Source organism: Homo sapiens, chromosome 3, assembly GCF_000001405.40.
Source record: "Homo sapiens chromosome 3, GRCh38.p14 Primary Assembly".
Classification (NCBI taxonomy): domain Eukaryota; kingdom Metazoa; phylum Chordata; class Mammalia; order Primates; family Hominidae; genus Homo; species Homo sapiens.
In genome coordinates, this window is record NC_000003.12 from 59086535 (window position 1) to 59106023 (window position 19489).

The window sequence follows — 19489 nt, forward strand, 5'->3', positions numbered from 1 at the left end:
TTTAATATAAATAACATTAATGAATGTCCTGTGTTGTAATATTATTCTTGAATCTTTACTTCTCTAGGAGTTCTCTTTTTATTTCTCTTTATACCCACAACAAATGCATTTCATAGCTTTTCAATGAGCAATCAAATACTTTGCAGACCAGAGCTCTGACTTCCATGGGTTCTCTTTTGGGAATCTGAGAGGTTAGTATTTTATGTATTAATTATGTCAGTTCATCTTTTACATAACATTCATTAATCTCTCTGGTGAAAACATCCCAAACAAATCAAGCTTCCTTCTTTTCCTTTTACTTACAGGTGTTTTGGGGAGCAGTGCTAAGAAAGACTCCCCACCCTTAGTGAGAAGAGAATAATACTGACAGGGGCTTGTCATCTTGAGTGTAAGTGTTTACAAATTAATCAGGTTCACTAACTCATAGTGCCTAACAGGGTTACCAATGGAAGTTGTTACAGTACCATTGAAATATTTTTCTTTTACTGCCTATTTTCCCTTCTCCTGGTAATTATATACCCATTTATCTTTTAGCCCATTAAGTAGTATTAGTTCAATGCCCCACTCAAGAGTTGAACATTTACCTGGGTTTCAGCCAATTAGCATATCATATTTCCTGGTCACAGTGATTTGTTCAGAGAAAGCCTTGCCACCAGATTGGAACCAATGAGACAGAATGAACCTTTGGCTGGCTGGGAATGCTGGGGCGAGAGCTCCCAGTCTTTTCTATTGAATATGGATGAGGAGGAGCCATCTTAGGAACACTGTGAGAGCCTGTCTGACAATGGTGTGTATGCAGAGATGGGGAGAGAGAAGTTGGATTTGGGTGGCTTTGTCTGAGTCCTTGGGTCCAGCGATGCCTATAGTCAGATTTGCCCCACTGGATTTTTTCGCTATATAAGCAATTCTCATTTTGCATCATCTAGTTAGGGTTGGAACAAACGACTGATACAGCATAGAGGGTGTGAAGAAGTATATGGGTAAGGGTTGAAGATGTGTTTGCTGAGATTGAGGCATCACTGACACAGTTTGGAATCCCTCCTGGTTCACCTGCAGCCCAGGATCCCACCTCTTTGCGAAGACTTTGAAAGTTTCAGAAGTGAATTCTCATTCTAGTTTAGTCCCAAGCTTGGCCAACCCTGTCCCACTTGTAGCTACAAGAAATGTAGATAAAGTCTTAGGATCAGATCACCATTCCTTCATAGTTCATCCTCCAGAATTCAGAGTTTACATGATTGGAATTGTCGTTAGTGTCTGAAGTGACTTGTAGAAAGAATCTGGAATAAAGCTCTCTCAACTGGGTTGTAAATTAGCGAGTCTTAATCTGGTATTGGGTGAGGTACATAATGAACTAGGATGGGGAATATGCTCAGTGTAAAATTCATAGGTTACCGGATACTTTTATTTTCCTACAGTTGGGTCCATCTTCTCCAAATTGGTAGGTTAAAAAAAGAAATTCAGGAAAGACGAAAATCATTACATATTTCTAAAGGATAAAAATACCAGCAAATGTTTTCGATAATATTTGGACATGTATAAGAAAGACCAAAGAGTTCCTCTTTAGTTGGATGTACTCATATTATTCAAAACATGGTTATTTGGATATATTTAATATGTGTGAAAATTTGTTGCCCTAATTAATATACATACACTTTTCTATATGTATATTTCAATACAAGGATTTTTAAAATCCCAGTTATTACAATGTCAAAACTGAATAAAATTATCTGTGTATATATATTTATTTAAATGGAATAATTTCAAAATGTAATTATATGTCTCTTATCCCAATAAATTATATGGCCCAGTATATGTGTTAAATTTGGCTAAAATTTTGAGTTGTATGAGAATGTTGCATATATTTCATTTGGAGATAATTACTACAGAAATCTGAATGTGATTTTTTTTTTTTTTAGATGGAGTCTCACTCTGTTGACAGGCTGGAGTGCAGTGGCGCGATCTCAGCTCACTGCAACCTTTGCCTCCCGGGTTCAAGCAATTCTTCTGCCTCAGTCTCCCTAGTAGCTGGGATTACAGGTCCACACCACCACATCCAGCTAATTTTTTTTGTATTTTTTTAGTAGAGATGGGGTTTCACCATTTTGGCCAGGATGATCTCGATCTCCTGACCTCGTGATCTGCCCGCCTTGGCCTCCCAGAGTGCTGGGATTACAGGCGTGAGCCACCGTGCCCGGTTGATAGTTATTAAAGTATCTGTTATTAGTCAGGGACCATCTAAAATAAAGCCTGTAAGTTCCATCTGTTCAAATTCTTCATTTGCTTTTGTGTCTAGCTTGTAATTTTTTTACCTCTTAAAAAAATGTAAAATATATCTTTTAGGACAGTCTCAGCATGCCTGTCCACATTTTCAATGGAAGTCTCCTATCCTGCATACAGTAATCTAGTAGGATTTGATTTGGCCCAGTCGTTTTTGCTATGTGCTTTTAAACAGATTAGTTTATCTATTCATGATGCTGACTCCAACTTAATTCTCTGGGAGCAGGACTGATATTACATATAAAGCACTTTATTCTGGAGTGAAGCACTGAAGAAAGTGTTCTGTTGTTTCATTGTAGCTGTTTTTCTATTATTTAAGCATTCAAATTTGATCTTAGGAAAGGTCTTTTCATTTTTTTACCCTAATGGATATTATAAACTGAAATTTTACATTTAGTGCCTAAAACACATTTATTATCATTTTATCTGTCTATATCTAATCATAACATCTATCTTTCATGTGTCTATCAAAATTACATTTTACTTCTGGTCGCATTTGTCAGACAGATCTATCAAGGGAGACCATTCTGAAAAGTTGGAGTTTTTTTCTCTTTGGAACTTTGTGATGAATATTAGTGCAGAGTTGAGTTGTTTTGCTGGTTGTAGTGAGCAGTATTTGCTTTGTGTTCCTTTGCCTCTCTCCCTTGTTGCATGGCCATCCTTTTGCAGTTATGACTCTGCTGTGGGTGTGTGCTGGCACTTCACCACCATCAGTAAACCATGGGTTGGATTTTTAAAAGTGTCTAGGCCTGGCACAGTGGCTCACACCTGTAATCCCAGCATTTTGGGAGGCTGAGGTGGGTGGATCACTTGAGGTCAGGAGTTCGAGACCAGCCTGGCCAACGTGGTTAAACCCCATCTCTACTAAAAAAAATACAAAAAATTAGCAGGACGTGGTGGCAGGAGAATAGCTTGAACCCAGGAGGCAGATGTTGCAGTGAGCCGAATTCATGCCACTGCACTCCAGCCTGGGTGACAGATCAAGACTCCGTCTCAAAAAAAAGAAAAAAAAAGTATCTAAAACTATTGTGTAAGAATCCACATGTCAGTCCCTTAAAACTTTTTTCTTTCTGTTCTTTTTGACCCCTACTTTTCCCAAACCTTAAATTTATTGTAGTGAACATTTTTTAATTTTTTCAATTAGTACAGTGAATAGTATTTACCAGTGTCTCTAATTTTACATGGTTTCTTTTTCACACATTAAAAATTATCCCTGGCTGAGATAATTTATATAAAATTATATATTACCAGTTTGAACACTTAAAAGGGACTCAATAAAGTTTAGTTTTTTGATTAGAAAAATTCTTTTCTTGTTAAAATTCTGGCGATTTTGAGCTAATGTTTATGACACCTTGTAGAAAAACATTCCCCTCGATAGGAGGCACTCAAAGATGAGAAAAGCTAGAAATATGAGCAGAGGACCTGATTATTTACTAGGTTCCAAATATGTCAATCATCCTTATTACACAAAACTTAGGATTTGTGGCCTTCCTGAGATCACTTGTAAAACTTTGTTCACAGAGGCTGCAAACTTTGAAGAGGAAATAGCATAGATTTGCCACGGATAATGGAAGGTAAGTGATTGATATTGGCAGATTTCAAGGATGATGGCCCTTCCAATCAGGACCAGTGGACCACGTAATACTTGGATCAGATAATTGCCAAACGCAGTGAACACTTTTCAGTTCTTATTTGATCTCCAGACATAGCAACAGCATCAAGTCAAATAAATGTTAGACTGGAAGGCTGAGTTGATAGTCTGGCCTTTACTTCTCTCTCCATAAGGCTGTTCGAAACCATTCCTTATTCACCTTTCTGTGAAACCTTCTACTTCATTAGGCCTCATGCCATCCAGCTCCAACACTCATTACACCCTCCATCTTTTACTGACAATATGCTATTTTCTTAGCTACTCATTGTTATTCATTAAACCTTTTCTCTTAAGCTTTTTTTTTGAAATAATTCATATTTATGAAAGAGTTGTAAAGATAGTATATAGATTCTCCACATACCCATCAGCCATCTTCCCCTGATGTTAACCTTTTATCTAACATGGCACATTTATCAAAACTAGAAATCAACAGTGGCACAACCCTATTAACTAAACAACAGACTTTATTTGAATTACATGAGCTTCTTCACTATGTTCTTTTTTCCAAAATCCAATCCAGTACCACATTGCATTTATTTGTCATGTTTCCTTAGTCTCCTCTAATCTGTCTTTCTTTGCTTCACAACCTGTCCTTATTTCTCAGTCTTGACACTTCGGAAGATTACTGGCCAGGTGTTTTGCAGAATGTCCCTCAGTTTGGGTTTTAGCTAATATTTTCTCATGACTATACTGGGGTTACAGAACACTGCCACAGAAGTGAAGTGCCCTTCCCATCATATCATGTCAGGGGGTAAATGATTTCCATCATCTCACAGTATTGGTGAGGTAAACTTTGATCACTTGATTAAGGTGATGTGTGCCAAGTTTTCTCACTATAAAGTTACTACATTTTGCCTTTTAATACTCATGTACTTAGAAGGAAATCACCAAGTCTAGCCTACGTTTAAGGAGAGGAGAATTAGAGGTAGAAATTCTACCTCTTTGAGGTAGTAATATTAAAAAAAGCTTGTGGATATATGTTAAAACTACCATAGTAAATATATTGAAGAAAAGACTGAGACTATGTAAATACCTGTTTCTCTTTCTCTTTGATATTTTCCTACTACTTTTAGTATTCACCCATGAATCTTGTGAAAGCAAATATTGCTGGGTAATTTTCTATTTGCCTTGTTCCTCCTACACTTATTATTTATAATTATTCTGTATGAAAGGTTTGTCACTTATTTATTTTAGAGACAGGGTCTTGCTCTGTCACCCAGGCTGTAGTGCAGTGAGGCAATCATAGTTCACTGTAACCTCAAACTCCCGAGCTCAAGACATCCTCTTACCTCAGCCTCCCAAGTAGCTAGGACTACAGGCGTGTATCACCATGCCTGGCTAAATTTTATTTTTTTTGTAGAGGAGGGGTCTCCCTGTGCTACCCAGGCTGGTCTTGAACTCCTGACATCAAGTGATCCTCCTGCTTTGGCCTCACAAAATCCTGGGATTACAGGTGTAAGTGACCATGCAGCCCTATTTCTTTATTTATTGAACCATTTATTTACATGTAGGTATTCATGAGTATGAAGTTATGGATATTTATTTTACTTTTTTGTGCTATAATGCAGTGCCGTTGTTTCATTGCTCAAAAAGCTTTGCCCATTGGAGATATTTTAGGGTTTTTTTTTTTTTTTGTATTCTAAGACATCTCATTCTTTTGTCTTTTTTAAAGCACCTCCTTTTTGGTATTCATCAAAATTTTTCTATTTATTAATTAAAGCCATCTTATTAATTATTTCTTCCATTGCAATTTGTAACATTGTGCTGGTATCTTCCATGCCTATATAAACAACTCATCCAATAGCAGTAATATCTCAATTCTGCAACCTCATCAGCTCCCATGATAGTTACCTCCACTTGACTTCAGCCACTGAAGTGGCCTAGTGCTGGATTTTATCATCATCTGGAATTGCTCTACTTTTGTAATATCAGATTCAAATATTCAGTTCTTCCTGGTCTCTCAGTCTCTTCCCCCAACAATTGTTCTTTGTCTCATAGGAGCCTTCAATCTCTTCGCTTCTCTATTTTCTACCAATTCATAGAGCTTAGCACTTAGAGCCCGTGGGCCAGAACTTTGATCAGTCCTGGGTGCTACCAGTCCAAAGCACGCAACCTTGTTAGGCTGTTAGCAGCTGATGAGCTCATCTCTTGCTGCACAGAGACAATAGAAATCATCAGAAAGAACACCCTCAACTCCAGCAACAAACTGATGATCTTACCTATCCTCCTCTTATATCTTCCTCCTTTACTCTTGTTCCTCCCATAAAGGATTTGGTCATATTCCTATGTAAGGCTAATCTCCTCCACCGGGGTTCTGAATCCCATTCTCTCCCTCTTTTCTAACCACCCAGTCTCATGATTATCCTTCTATCTACCATATCTTCAAATTCTTCCTTTCTCCTGCTGCCTCCTTTACTTGAGCATGTAAAGAAAGCAAAATGAAACAAAGGCCCTTCCTCAAGTCCATGTTACCCTCTAAGTACATCCATTACATTTATTTGCCCCTTAACAGGCACACATTTTGAGGATTGTGTACTACCTGTCTTCTACTTCTTAGTCCACTATGATTCAGCTTCTGTCTTCTTGCACTATTTCACTACATTGCTCTTACCAAAGTTGCCAATGGCCTCCACATAACTAAATCCAGTGGGTACTTATCAGTCCTCACCTTACTTGATCATCCTTGTTGATCACACTCCCTTCTTAAAATCCTCATTTTATTTTGCTTCAGTGACATCTTTTATTTTTCCTCTAATTATTCTGGCTGTTCCTCTTTCTTTACATATTCTTCAGGGTTCTGATCTAGATCCCCATCTCATATCACATACATTTCTGGGGAAATTTATCTTCAACTACTATTCCGTGGCTTAAAAATTTTCATTTCAAGCCTAGACATCTCTCATGGGCCTCAGCCACAGGTATCTCTTTGCCCCCTTCATACCAACACTTGAATGTTCCTTAAGTAACCCGGATGTATACATCTACAACTAAACTCTACATCTGGCTCCTCAAGCAGGACCTCCTCTTTGATGCTTCTGTTGGTGAAAAGTATCACAATCTCCCTGTAGCTAAAATTAGAAACCCAGGGGTGGAGGGGAAGTCTTTCTTGACTCTTTTATTTCTCAAATAAGAAGCCACATCAAGAATTGCTGATTCTACTTCTTAATAGCGCTCAAGCCTTTCTATTTATGTTTATCCTCTCTGAAACCCTTTATCTCTCAGCAGGATTATGACAATAGCCTTCTAATTGTGTTCTCTGCCTCTAATCTTGTTCCCCACTAATCAATTCTCCACATGCTGCTTGTTTGACTTCCAAATGCAAATGGGAACAAATCCCTTCCTTCAATTGCTCCAGTGGTCCTTAGTCTAAAACACAAAATTCTAATCTGGATTCACAAGCCCTACCTGAGCCTGGATTATTTGTCAGGCCTCATCTGTTGCCAGCTTCTTCTTCTAAATTTATATTTTCTCTTGCCTCCAGAAATATTTTATTTTATTTTTTGCCTATAATACTCTTGTCTGCCCTTCCCCTTCTTTCAGTTCTCTCAAGTCATTCCCCCATGTCTTCCTTGACCACCTTTCTACCCCCATCAGGATTGGTTAGATGCCCTTCCTTTGTGCTCCCATAGCACCCATATCCTGTTAAAGCACTTAGCAAACAAAATGTATTGTTTACTTGCCTATCTCCCCAATAAGCACTTACTGAATACATGAATTCCTTGGATTTTTAATGAGCCATAACTACCCTCTCTGCTACCCTTCATTTTAATTTTTTTCTAGGCAAGAATTGATTTAAAGCAGAGTTTATTTCAGAAAATCGTTTCAGACACATTTCGCCATGGAAACGTTATTACAAATTGTACTTATGTTCTCAGATAATTTAATATTGTTAATAACTCATATCTTAATTAATAATTCCCCTTGGAATTTTCCTACCTATTATCATTGCTCTATAAAAATCTCAATTTTCCTTTCTGCCCGTTCCCTGTTTATCTCTCATTTTCTTCTATAGCATCTCAGCCCCATTATAGGTTAAATAGGGTTTTGTGAGTTTGGGACCTCTTTGCAACATTGTTTATTTGGGGAATGGCAAATTGCCATTCTTAGCAAGAAGAGAATGTGGTGGCACAGATAATGTTTATATTCTAGTTGAATCCACATCAGTTGGCCAATTGACTATTTCTTTGTTTATGGAAAACTGGAACGGCTAGAGGTTGTGATTGCTACAATGCCTATGACCCACTGTCAGTTACTGAAATGAGATTGCAATTTTTCTGTATATGTTTTTTCTAGACCATTGCTAAGGTACTTCGCGGTCACTAAGGATAAAAGTAATAATGAACCAGGCACAGGCCAGGTCAGCCATTTATATGTACAAATGTTGATTATTCAAGTTTATAAAACCTGGGGAAGTACACACACACACACGCCACGCAGACACACACACACACCTGTTAACCTGTTATGATTAAAAGTTATTTTGCTGACAGTATTGCTTCCTGGGTTATCAGTGTGAAAGAAAAACGTTCTATGATGCAAAGTCTCTTCTGCCTTGAGGTTGTGACTCCTTGATGAGAGTTGAACTCTCAAAAACTGAATTGGCAATTTACTGGTATCTGAGTGGTTAATGTTCAGATTCATGTTGACCCACCTCAAGAGTACATTTGGACTGCCCTCTGATTGGCAGAAGTTCTAAAACTGTGGCTGTTTGCTTCACTGTTCTTCACCTATTTAGGCTGCCTGATGCTTTTGCTGAAACAAAGCAACTCTCTTGGGCTGCCAGGTACCAAGGTTATCTGTCTCCTCATGTTGATTTTTGGCAGTCAACAGGCATGCTGCTGTGTCTTTCAGTGTCCTTGTGCAGCAACAAGGGCTTGGTTGCTGCTGGTCAAACATGAAGGTTGTTTTATTAGTGCATCAGGTACATGCAGCTACTTTGTTGCTCTATTCACCTAGACCTAATCGGCTAAGGTAAGTTTTTCAGTACACTCTTGATGTAGTTTTTCAATCATCTTTATGTCCTATAGAGTTTATGTGCAAAAGAAATCATTTTGCCTTCATATTTTAGCGGTAGCAGCTTATACTAAATTATTAAACTATAGCTTACAGTTTAGAGGCATGCTTACCAAGTTGTGTGAATAATAGTTTTATGCTTAAGCTTAGCCTGTTGACCAGGTAGTGGGTATGCTAAGAGCAATGCCTGGTCTGGTCTTTCACCTCTATGGGAGATAATATTTGGTCTAAGGATTGTAACTTGTTAGTTGGTTATCATATATTGAACCTCTAAAATGTTTAAAGCATTGGCATAGGCATTATAAGGAAGTTAAAGACTCTATGATTGTGTTAGCCACTCAAAATACATACTCATGAAATGGTCCTAAAACGATCCCATTAAGTACAAGCCTTTAAGTTAAATTTGTAGTAAATGCTGAGCTTGAAGTCAAGGAGTGATCAGAATGAGGAAAAGTTCATTCATTCAACAAATTCAAGAAAATATTTATTGAGTACCTAACTTGTGCAAAGCACTGTGCTAGGTTAGATGTTGGGGTTAACAAAATAAATCCATATGTTCACTTGCCTCAGAATCTTAAGAAGAAGACAGTATATAAGAATTACATGAGCGGCTGCTCTGTCTGTGGAGTAGCCATTCTTTTATTGCTTTACTTTAATGAACTTGCTTTCACTTTGCACTCCAGACTCACCCTGAATTCTTTCTTGTGCAAGATCCAATAACCCTCTCTTGGGGTCTGGATCAGGGTCCCTTTCCTGTAACATATTTCTGGTGACCACAGAAGTGATTATAGAGCAGAAACCCTGACCCAACGGCTACCTTTGGGTCCTGTAACACGTTTCTGGTGGACCATGGAAGGGACAATACTGAAGAGACCCCCAACCCAAAGGAAAATAATCTGTGTGCATCAGTTGGCTGACTTTGGGTAAGTGGGGTGCATATACCTGGGTAAAGAATGGGATTGGGTTAGAGGCCCAACTTAGAGGAGTTAGAGTCTCTCCTAAAACAGAGTGGGTTAGAGGCCCCTCTTTTTGTTTTTATATTACTTTAAGGTCTGGGATACATGTGCAGAACCTGCAGGTTTGTTACATACCATGTGCCATGGTGGTTTGCTGCACCTATCAACCTGCCATCTAGGTTTTAAGCCCTGCATACATTAGGTATTTGTCCTAATGCTCTCCCTCCCCTTCCCCCCAACAACCCAACAGGCCCTGGTGTATGATGTTCCCCTTACTGTGTCCATGTGTTCTCATTGTTCAACTCCCACTTATGAGTGAGAATATGTGGTGTTTGGTTTTCTGTTCCTGTGTTAGTTTGCTGAGAATGATGCCTTCCAGCTTTATCCATGTTTTTGTATATTGAACCAGCCTTGCATTGCCGGGATGAAGCCAACTTGATCGTAGTGGAGAAGCTTTTTGATGTGCTGCTGGATTTGGTTTGCCAGTATTTTATTGAGGATTTTCACATGGATGTTCATCAGGGATATTGGCCTGAAATTTTCTTTTTTTGTTGTGTCTCTGCCAGGTTTTGGTCTCAGGATGATGTTGGCCTCATAAAATGAGTTAGGAAGGAGTCCCTCTATTTCTACTGTTTGGAGTAGTTTCAGAAGGAATGGTACCAGCTCCTCTTTGCACCTCTGGTAGAATTTGGCTGTGAGTCTGTCTGGTCTTGGGCTTTTTTGGTTGGTAGGCTATTAATTACTGCCTCAATTTCAGAACTTGTTATTAGTCTACTCAGGGATTTGACTCCTTCCTGGTTTAGTCTTGGGAGGGTGTATGTGTCCAGGAATTTATCCATTTCTTCTAGATTTTCCAGTTTATTTGCATAGAGGTGTTTGTAGTATTCTCTGATGGTAGTTTGTATTTCTGTGGGATCAGTGGTGATATCCCCTTTGTCATTTTTTATTGTGTCGATTTGATTCTTCTCTTTTCTTCTTTATTAGTCTACCTAGCGGTCTATTTATTTTGTTAATCTTTTCCAAAAACCAACTCCTGGATTCATTGTTTTTTGAAGGGTTTTTCATGTCTCTATCTTCTTCAGGTCTGCTCTGATCTTAGTTATGTCTTCTGCTAGCTTTTGAATTTGTTTGCTCTTGCTTCTCTAGTTCTTTTAAGTGTGATTTTAGAGTGTCAATTTCAGACCTTTCCTACTTTTGATGTGGGTATTTAGTGCTATAAATTTCCCTCTAAACACTGCTTTAGCTGTGTCCCAGGGATTCTGGTACATTGTCTCTTTTTTCTTATTGGTTTGAAAGAACTTCTTTATTTCTGCATTAATTTCGTTATATACCCAGTAGTCATTGAGGAGCAGATTGTTCAATTTCCATGTAGTTGTGTGGTTTTGAGTGAGTTTCTTAATCCTGAGTTCTTATTTGATTGCACTGTGGTCTGAGTGACTGTTTGTTATGATTTCCATTCTTTTGCATTTGCTGAGGAGTGTTTTACTTCCAATTATGTGGTCGATTTTAGAATAAGTGCTATGTGGTGCTGAGAAGAATGTATACTCTGTTGATTTGGGGTGGAGAGTTCTGTAGATATCTATTAGGCTTGCTTGATCCAGAGCCGAATTCAAGTCCTGAATATCCTTGTTAATTTTTTGTCTCATTGATCTGTCTAATATTGACAGTGGGGGCTAAAATCTCCCACTAGTATTGTGTGGGAGTCTAAGTCTCTTCGTAGGTGGCTAAGAACTTGTTATATGAATCTGGGTGCTCCTGTATTGGGTGCATGTATATTTGGGATAGTTACCTCTTCTTGTTGCATTGATCCCTTTACCATTATCTAATGCCCTTCTTTGTCTTTTTTTGATCTTTGTTGGTTTAAAGTCTGTTTTAACAGAGACTAGGATTGCAACCCCTGCTTTTTTTTTTCTTTCCATTTGCTTGGTAAATCTTCCTCCATCCCTTTATTTTGAGCCTATGTGTGTCTTTGCATGTTAGATGGGTCTCCTGAATACAGCACGCTGATGGGTCTTGACTGTTTATTCAATTTGCCAGTCTGTGTCTTTTAACTGGGGCATTTAGCCCACTTACATTTAAGGTTAATATTGTTATGTGTGAATTTGATCCTGTCATTATGATTCTAGCTGGTTATTTTTCACATTAGTTGATGCAGTTACTTTATAGTGTCATTGGTCTTTACATTTTGATGTGTTTTTGCTGTGGCTAGTACAGTTTTTTTCTTTCTATATTTAGTGCTTCCCTAAGGAGCTCTTGTAAGGCAGGCCTGGTGGTGACGAAATCCCTCAGCATTTCCTTGTCTGTAAAGGATTTTATTACTCCATTGCTATGAAGCTTAGTTTGGCTGGATATGAAATTCTGGGTTGAAAATTCTTTTCTTTAAAAATGTTGAATATTGACCCCCACTCTCTTCTGGCTTGTAGGGTTTCTGCAGAGATATCTGCTGTTAGTCTGATGGGCTTCCCTTTGTAGGTAACCCAACCTTTCTCTCTGGCTGCCCTTAACATTTTTTCCTTCTTTTCAACCTTGGAGAATCTGACAATTATGTGTCTTGGGGTTGCTCTTCTTGAGGAGTATCTTATTGGTGTTCTCTGTATTTCCTGAATTTGAATGTTGGCCTGTCTTGCTAGGTTGGGTAAGTTCTCCTGGATAATATCCTGAAGTGTGTTCTCCAACTTTGTTCCATTCTCCCCATCACTTTCAGGTACACCAATCAGTCTTAGGTTTGGTCTTTTCACATAGTCCCATATTTCTTGGAGGCTTTGTTTGTTCCTTTTCATTCATTTTTCTCTAATCTTATCTTCATGTCTTATTTCAGTAAGGTGATCTTCAATTTCTGATATCCTTTCTTCCACTCGATCGATTTGGCTATTGATACTTGTGTATACTTCATGAAGTTCTTGTGCTGTATTTTTCAGCTTCATCTAGTGATTTAAAATTATTCCTCTCTAAACTGGTTATTTTAGTTAGCACTTCTTGTAACCTTTTTATCGAGGTTCTTAGCTTCCTTGCATTGGGTTAGAACATGCTCCTTTAGCTCAGAGGAATTTGTTGTTACCCACCTTCTGAAGCCTACTTCTGTCAATTTGTCAGTGTCATTCTCCATCCAGTTTTGTGCTCTTGCTGGAGAGGAGTTATGATCATTGGGAGGAGAAGAGGCATTCTGGTTTTTGGAATTTTCAGCATTTTTGCACTGGTTTTTCTTCATCTTCATGGATTTATCTGCCTTTGATCTTTGAGGCTGAAGACCTTTGGATGGGGTTTTTGTGTGGGGGTATTTTTTTGTTGATGTTGACGTTGTTTTCTGTTTGTTAGTTTTTCCTCTAACAGTAAGGTCCCTCTTCTGCAGGTCTGCTGCAGTTTGCTAGAGGTCCACTCCAGACCCTGTTTGCCTGGGTGTCACCAGTGGCGGCTGCGGAACAGGAAAGATTGCTGCCTGCCCCTTCCTCTGGAAGCTTTATCCCAGAGGGGCACCAATGTAATGCCAACTGGAGCTCTCCTGTAGGAGGTGTCTGTTAACCTTGTTGGGAGGTCTCTCCCAGTCAGGAGGCACAGGGATCAGGGACCCACTTGAGGAGGCAGTCTGTGCCTTAGCAGAGCTGGTGCGCTGTGCTGGGAGAATCACCCTTGTCAGGATCAGCTGCTGTCTTGAGAGCTGGCAGGCAGGAACAATTAAATCCGTTGAAGCTGTGCCCACAGTTGCCCCTTCCCCCAGGTGCTCTGTCCCAGGGAGATAAGAGTTTTATCTGTAAGCCCCTGACTTGGGCTGCTGTCTTTCCTTCAGAGATGCCCTGCCCAGTGAGGAGGAATCTAGAGAAATAGTCTGGCCACAGCTGCTTTGCCGCACTGTGGGGAATTCTGCCCAGTCCTAACCTCCCAGCCTCCTTAGCACTCTCAGGAGAAAACCACCTACTAAAACCTCAGTAATGGCAGACTCCCCTCCCCCAACCAAGATTGACTGTCCCAGGTCGACTTCAGACTGCTGTGTTGGCAGTGAGAATTTCAAGCCAGTGTTTCTTAGCTTGCTGGGCTCCATGGGAGTGGGACCTGCTCAGTGAGAACTTGGGTCTCTGGCTTCAGCCGCTTTTTCAGAGGAGTGAATGGTTCTGTCTTGCTAAGGTTCCAGGTGCCACTGGGATATGAAAAAAGCTCCTACAGCTAGCTCAGTGTCTGCCCAAACAGCTACCCAGTTTTGTGCTTGAAACCCATGGCCCTGGTGGTGTAGGCAAACGAGGGAATCTCTTGATCTCCGGATTGCAGAAACCGTGGGAAAAGCATAGTACCCGGGCCAGGTAACACAGACCCTCATGGCTTCCCTTGGCTGGGAAAGGGAGGCCCCCTGCTCCTTGCACTCCTTGAGTAAGGCAACGCCCCACCCTGCTTCTGATTGCTCTCTGTGGGTTGCACCCATTGCCTAACCAGTCCTAATGAGATGAACTGGGTACCTCAGTTGGAAATGTAGAAATCACCTGCCTTAGGCATTGGTCTCCCTGGGAGCTAGAGACCAGAGCAATTCCTATTCAGCCATCTTGGCCCCTCCCCCGCAAGGCCACTCTTAATAAAAGGCAAGGACACTTGTTGGACCTCGGTTAGAGGCCCAGTTTAGGAGGGTTAGAGTCTCTTCTACGATTTAGGGGGTTAGAGGCACCTCTTGGTAAAGTCCCTTTAAGAACAGGTTTTGCACTATGGGGTGCTAACTGCTATTCTCTTTGGATTAATCTGCCTTGTACTCTTTGCTGATGGCTGTGGGTGACAGGCATGGACAGGATTGTGGGACATGAGGAGTTTTTTCCTCCCTAAAAGAGGAAACTTGAGAGGTGATGAGACTGCTGGAAAAAAATCCCTTTACGACAGCAGCTGCAGCTGCCTGAACTTTTCAGTGTCGCCGCAATGTGTGGGTCTTTCTCCTGGCCTCCCTGATCATTTCACCTTCCCCACCCTGCCAACAGGCAATGCTTTTCTTCTCTACTTTTTATTTCCCTTTGTTATCTTTTCTATTACTCAGGGCAACCAACTTGCCCAGAGACCATGTGTTGAAACTCCTAGCCAGAGGTTGGATTAAAGATGACAGGGCCCTTCTGGGGGCAAATTTAAGCCTTGCCAGTCTGATATTGGGTGCTAAGCAGAATGACTAATGTCTATGTTTTATCACATGTATTTTGCTCTGGCCAGAGCAAAAAAAAATTATTCTCCTTTATAATGCGGCTTGGCCCCCAGGGCTATGGTGTCACAAGCTGAATCACTAGGGTTGCTCAGGGAAAGGGAAACCAGAAGCCTGGCATGCTGGCAAAAGGGTAAGAATTTCTTACCAGTCAGATTTCTGGCTGCTCTCTGTGCAGTTGAATGGATGGTAAATAAATAAATAAATAAATAATCAGTGTTTATCTCCTCTGTAAAGTTTTGATTAATGCGAAAAAGAATTCTAAGGCTAGTCTTAAGCTGGTGTATTTTGTGCTATGAATGTGTTTTTCTGTGTCAAGGGGTACTTTAGGTGCAAACACTGGCTTAGAACACTTGTAAGCCCACTTTTCAAGACCACCCAGCAAGCTGGTCCATAACAAACTTGGCTGCAGGTCCCTGAAACAAACGAAAAACTGAATGAAGTCTCCACGTTGTTTTATGTCCTTGGGAGCTTGGCCTTTTAACCAGGTGGTGGTACTTTCTTTTGGTCTCTGTCTTCAGGAAACAGGAATTTTAGGGTTCATGTCAGAGTTAGCTCTAAAAATCCTATCACATAGTTAAAAGCCTCTGCAAGCTCAGGATTCACTACTCTAGATTCCTCGTGGGAAAGGAACTGGAGACTGCCCTGTGCTGTAGTTATGTCTCCTGTTAGCTTTTGAATTTGTTTGCTACTTCTGCCCAGTAGCTGCTAGTACTAGCTGCCTAGTAGCTAATGTTTTGCACTTTCACAGTGGCGGTCTGAGTTCAATTCCCCACCTAGGAAGTAAGTCATTTCTGGTTTAATATCTGTGTGACCTTGTCTATTCTCTTCTCCATGGACTGCCTTAATTTTTTGTTTCTCTAAGCACCTAGGAGGTTACCTTTGGCAAAGTTCAGAAACTAGAAATATTGGCCACTTGGCATGGCCGAAGTCGGGTAATAAGAGATCTGGAAGGATTTCTTTTTTAAAGAGCACCATGGTTAAAAATCAGCTTAATTAAAAGTGGATAAACAAGCTATACATATATTTTAAAGGCCGTTATGTTTTTGTCTCCTTGGAACTTTTTTTTTCTGGAAAAAGGTGTTTCTTCTCTGTCAATTGAATTATTTTTTCTCCAATTTTTTTTTTTTTTTGTCTTGCCACTCTTCAAGCACACATGAGAGACCCTAAGATAACTTCGGGTAGCCTGGGACTCCTTGGGAGAAACAGAGGAGGCGCCACAGACCCCGTTTTGGGGAAAAAAACCCTCTGTTTCCCTCATGAAACCCCAGGAATTAAAAGCAAATAGATCCCTCTAAAACTCAAAGGCACTGTTCTGTTTTGCATTGTGTTATCTAACGGTTTTGAGTTTTGGGGTATCAGAAATTACTTTGCATTATGAGAGAGCTTTCGTGTGTAAGAACTAGGTAGGAAATATACTTTAAGGGATGGCTAATAGTAGTTATGGAGGGATACTTGACTCTTTGTACACTCAGCTCAGACAAGCATGCTCTTGGCCACTTGGGAGATAAGGAAACATCCCCACCCCCCACTGGGAGATGAGACACCCTTGAGGGATAGGCTGATGACAAAATGGGCTGATTGGCTTTGGGTTGCCTTGCAAGAAATGCAGAGTAGAAGCACTGCGCTATCTTCTTCCATAGTATTTCCCTCCTTTTGGGGATCCAGGAACCAGTATAAAATGACACCCTTAATTTTGGGGATCTGTCTGCCTTCAGCTGCTTATTTGCTGCTTATTTGGCCGTAAGAACGCATGCTTTTCTGGCCCTGTTCCTCCAAGGGCTCCATCCTGAAGCCAGTAATTCAATTAAGAAACTGGCAAACGAAAAATCTTACAAGTGCTGAATCTGTCTGTCTGTGTATTTATATGTGTTATATGTTTACATATAAAAGAGCTCTAATTAATTGGCTTAGAAAAATAAGCACTTAAATCAAATATTTTGTCAGAAAAATAGAAACTTTAATGCCTTTTTGTTCATGTAACTTTAGTAATCTTTTGGAAATAGTTTTAAAGATTATTAGTAAAATTATCTTGAAAATGTAGACATTTGGTCTAAATTAACGTCAGATATCAGATTTGCTAAATGCTTTAAGGTTGAACTGTTTATTTGACTTTTGAAAACTGTTTAATTTACCTACCTTAAAGCCATTAGATTCTAGATAGGGCCTGGGAACATGTGGAGTTAGCCTGAGAGTTAGCAGTCAGCTCCTATCTGCACTTCTGCCTGGTGTGTCCTAGGCTAGACTCCCCACCTAGTACACAATTAAAATAGCTTATTAACCAGGGTTTTCACCAAAAATGAAAGTCACTAAAAGTTAACATTGTAACATGTAATTAAGACTACTGAAGAAACAGTGTTTTTTTTTTGTTGTTGTTTGTTTGTTTATTTGAGACGGAGTCTTGGAGTCTCTCACTGTCGCCCGGGCTGGAGTGCAGTGGCAGGATCTCAGCTCACTGTAACCTCTGCCTCCCAGGTTCAAGCGACTCTCCTGCCTCAGCCTCTCGAATAGCTGGGGTTACAGGCACCCACCACGATCCCCGGCTAATTTTTTGCGTTTTTAGTAGAGACGGGGTTTCACTGTGTTAGCCAGGATGGTCTCGATCTCCTGACCTCGTGATCTGCCCACCTCGGCCTCCCAAAGTGCTGGCATTACAGGCATGAGCCACCGGGCCCGGCCTACTGAAGAAACAGTTTTACATGCAAGATGTATAAGAAAAGTGAAATGAGTTTTTGGTAAAAAAAGATTACAAGAAGGCATGGGAATGTGGAATTTCTTCAGCCTAGATTAAAGTGTTAAAGGATTGTTTTAAGTAAGAAAAAAAATCTAAAGGTTTAAACAAGTTGTGAAAGATTTGTAAAAATTAATTCTAAGAGATTCTATGTGTGAACATATTGGCTATTATTCAGTTTTTCTGTAAATTAAACACTGAAATAGAAGCACAACAGGTTTTTCTTAAAGCACTGATCTGCTCTTTCACAAAAAAATGTAAAGGGTTATAAAAGGTTTATAAGAATCTTATGTTATGGTTAAACATTAAAATTGGGTAAATATATCTATAAGGTTTTATTAAAAATTGAGTTTAATGTTAATAGTACATTATTATAAAGGAGAAATTTGGCTCATTTGGTATAAAAATCATACAGAAAGCATTATCGAATGTGAAGTAGTGTTTTGCTTTCTTTGGACTATATTTGCATAAATGTGTTATGTTCCAAAGTTATGGGAAACTTGGCTTTGGATTGCCTTGCAAGAAATGCAGAGTAGAAGCACTGCACTGTCTTCTCCCATAGTATTTCCCTCCTTTTGGGGATCCAGGAACCAGTATAAAATGGCACCCTTAATTTTGGGGATCTGTCTGCCTTCAGCTTTACCATGATTTGTCTTTAGTAAAAATGGGAAACTGGAGAGAGAAATATTATGTTTCAAGAATTATAGCACACTGGTTATTGAATTCTAGTATCAGTTGTTTTTAAGTTTGTTTCTGCAATTTAGGCTAACCCTGCTTATTCCTGTAAACCAACCAGTGATTTTTGACTGTTCCTCAGAAGAAACAAGAGGGATGGGTAATGTAAAAATCTGGATCGGTATTCTAATTCCGGGCACATTACAATCAGCTAACAACCCCATATCAGCTTAGTTCCAACAGTTGCCCAGTTCATGAAAAGCCTTCTAATTTAGTTTACTTGGAATAACTTCACTTATTTTGCTTTAATCTTGTGGAATATATTGCTGTTATACTGTTTGTGCAGGAATACAGGACAAGCTTACTGAGTGCTTTCTTAAATTATACACTTATTAATCTTCCAGATATCACCTTCTGTCGCAACTCAAGAGTTTATAAATGGACCTTACCATACTGATGCTTTCCAACTGAGCTCCTCTCTACCCTGAATGCAAGAGACCCTCATAGTTAGGAAGAAATATTATTACCCCTATTCAGCCTGAAGAAGTTACAGAAGACAGATGTTTGTCCCTCTGCAAACCTTAGGATTAAGGATTCTTTTATAAAAGGGAGGGGGGAAATGTCAGAGGCCTGTGAGCCAGAGCAACTTTATCTTAAACAGGAGCTGGGTAAAATGAGGGTGAAACCTACTGGGCTGCATTCCCAGATGGTTAAGGCATTCTAAGTCACAGGATAAGTTAGGAGGTCAGCATAAAATACGGGTCATAAAGACCTTGCTGATAAAACAGGTTGCAGTAAAGGAGCCAGCCAAAACCAAACAAAACCAAAATGGCCACGAGAGTGACTTCTGGTCGTCCTCACTGCTGCTCTCCCACTAGCACCATAACAGTTTACAAATGCCATGGCAACGTCAGGAAGTTACCCTATATGGTCTAAAAAGGGGAGGCATGAATAATCCACCCCTTGTTTAGCATATCATCAAGAAATAACCATAAAAATGGGCATCCAGCAGCCCTTGGGGCTGC

General features: G+C 39.8%; 1 long non-coding RNA gene across 2 annotated transcripts in view; it reads left to right on the forward strand.

The window, feature by feature from the left end:
- Positions 1 to 305: 305 nt before the first annotated feature.
- The window catches only part of CFAP20DC-DT (CFAP20DC divergent transcript), a 724471-nt gene continuing 705287 nt past the window's right edge, over positions 306 to 19489 (forward strand). Inside the window, exons 1-2 of one of the 2 annotated variants that reach the window (XR_002959675.2) lie at positions 306 to 388; positions 3799 to 3851. This is a non-coding gene — a long non-coding RNA (CFAP20DC divergent transcript). The remainder of the gene's footprint in view (positions 389 to 3798; positions 3852 to 19489) is intronic. The other variant, XR_007095934.1, reaches the window with a different exon arrangement.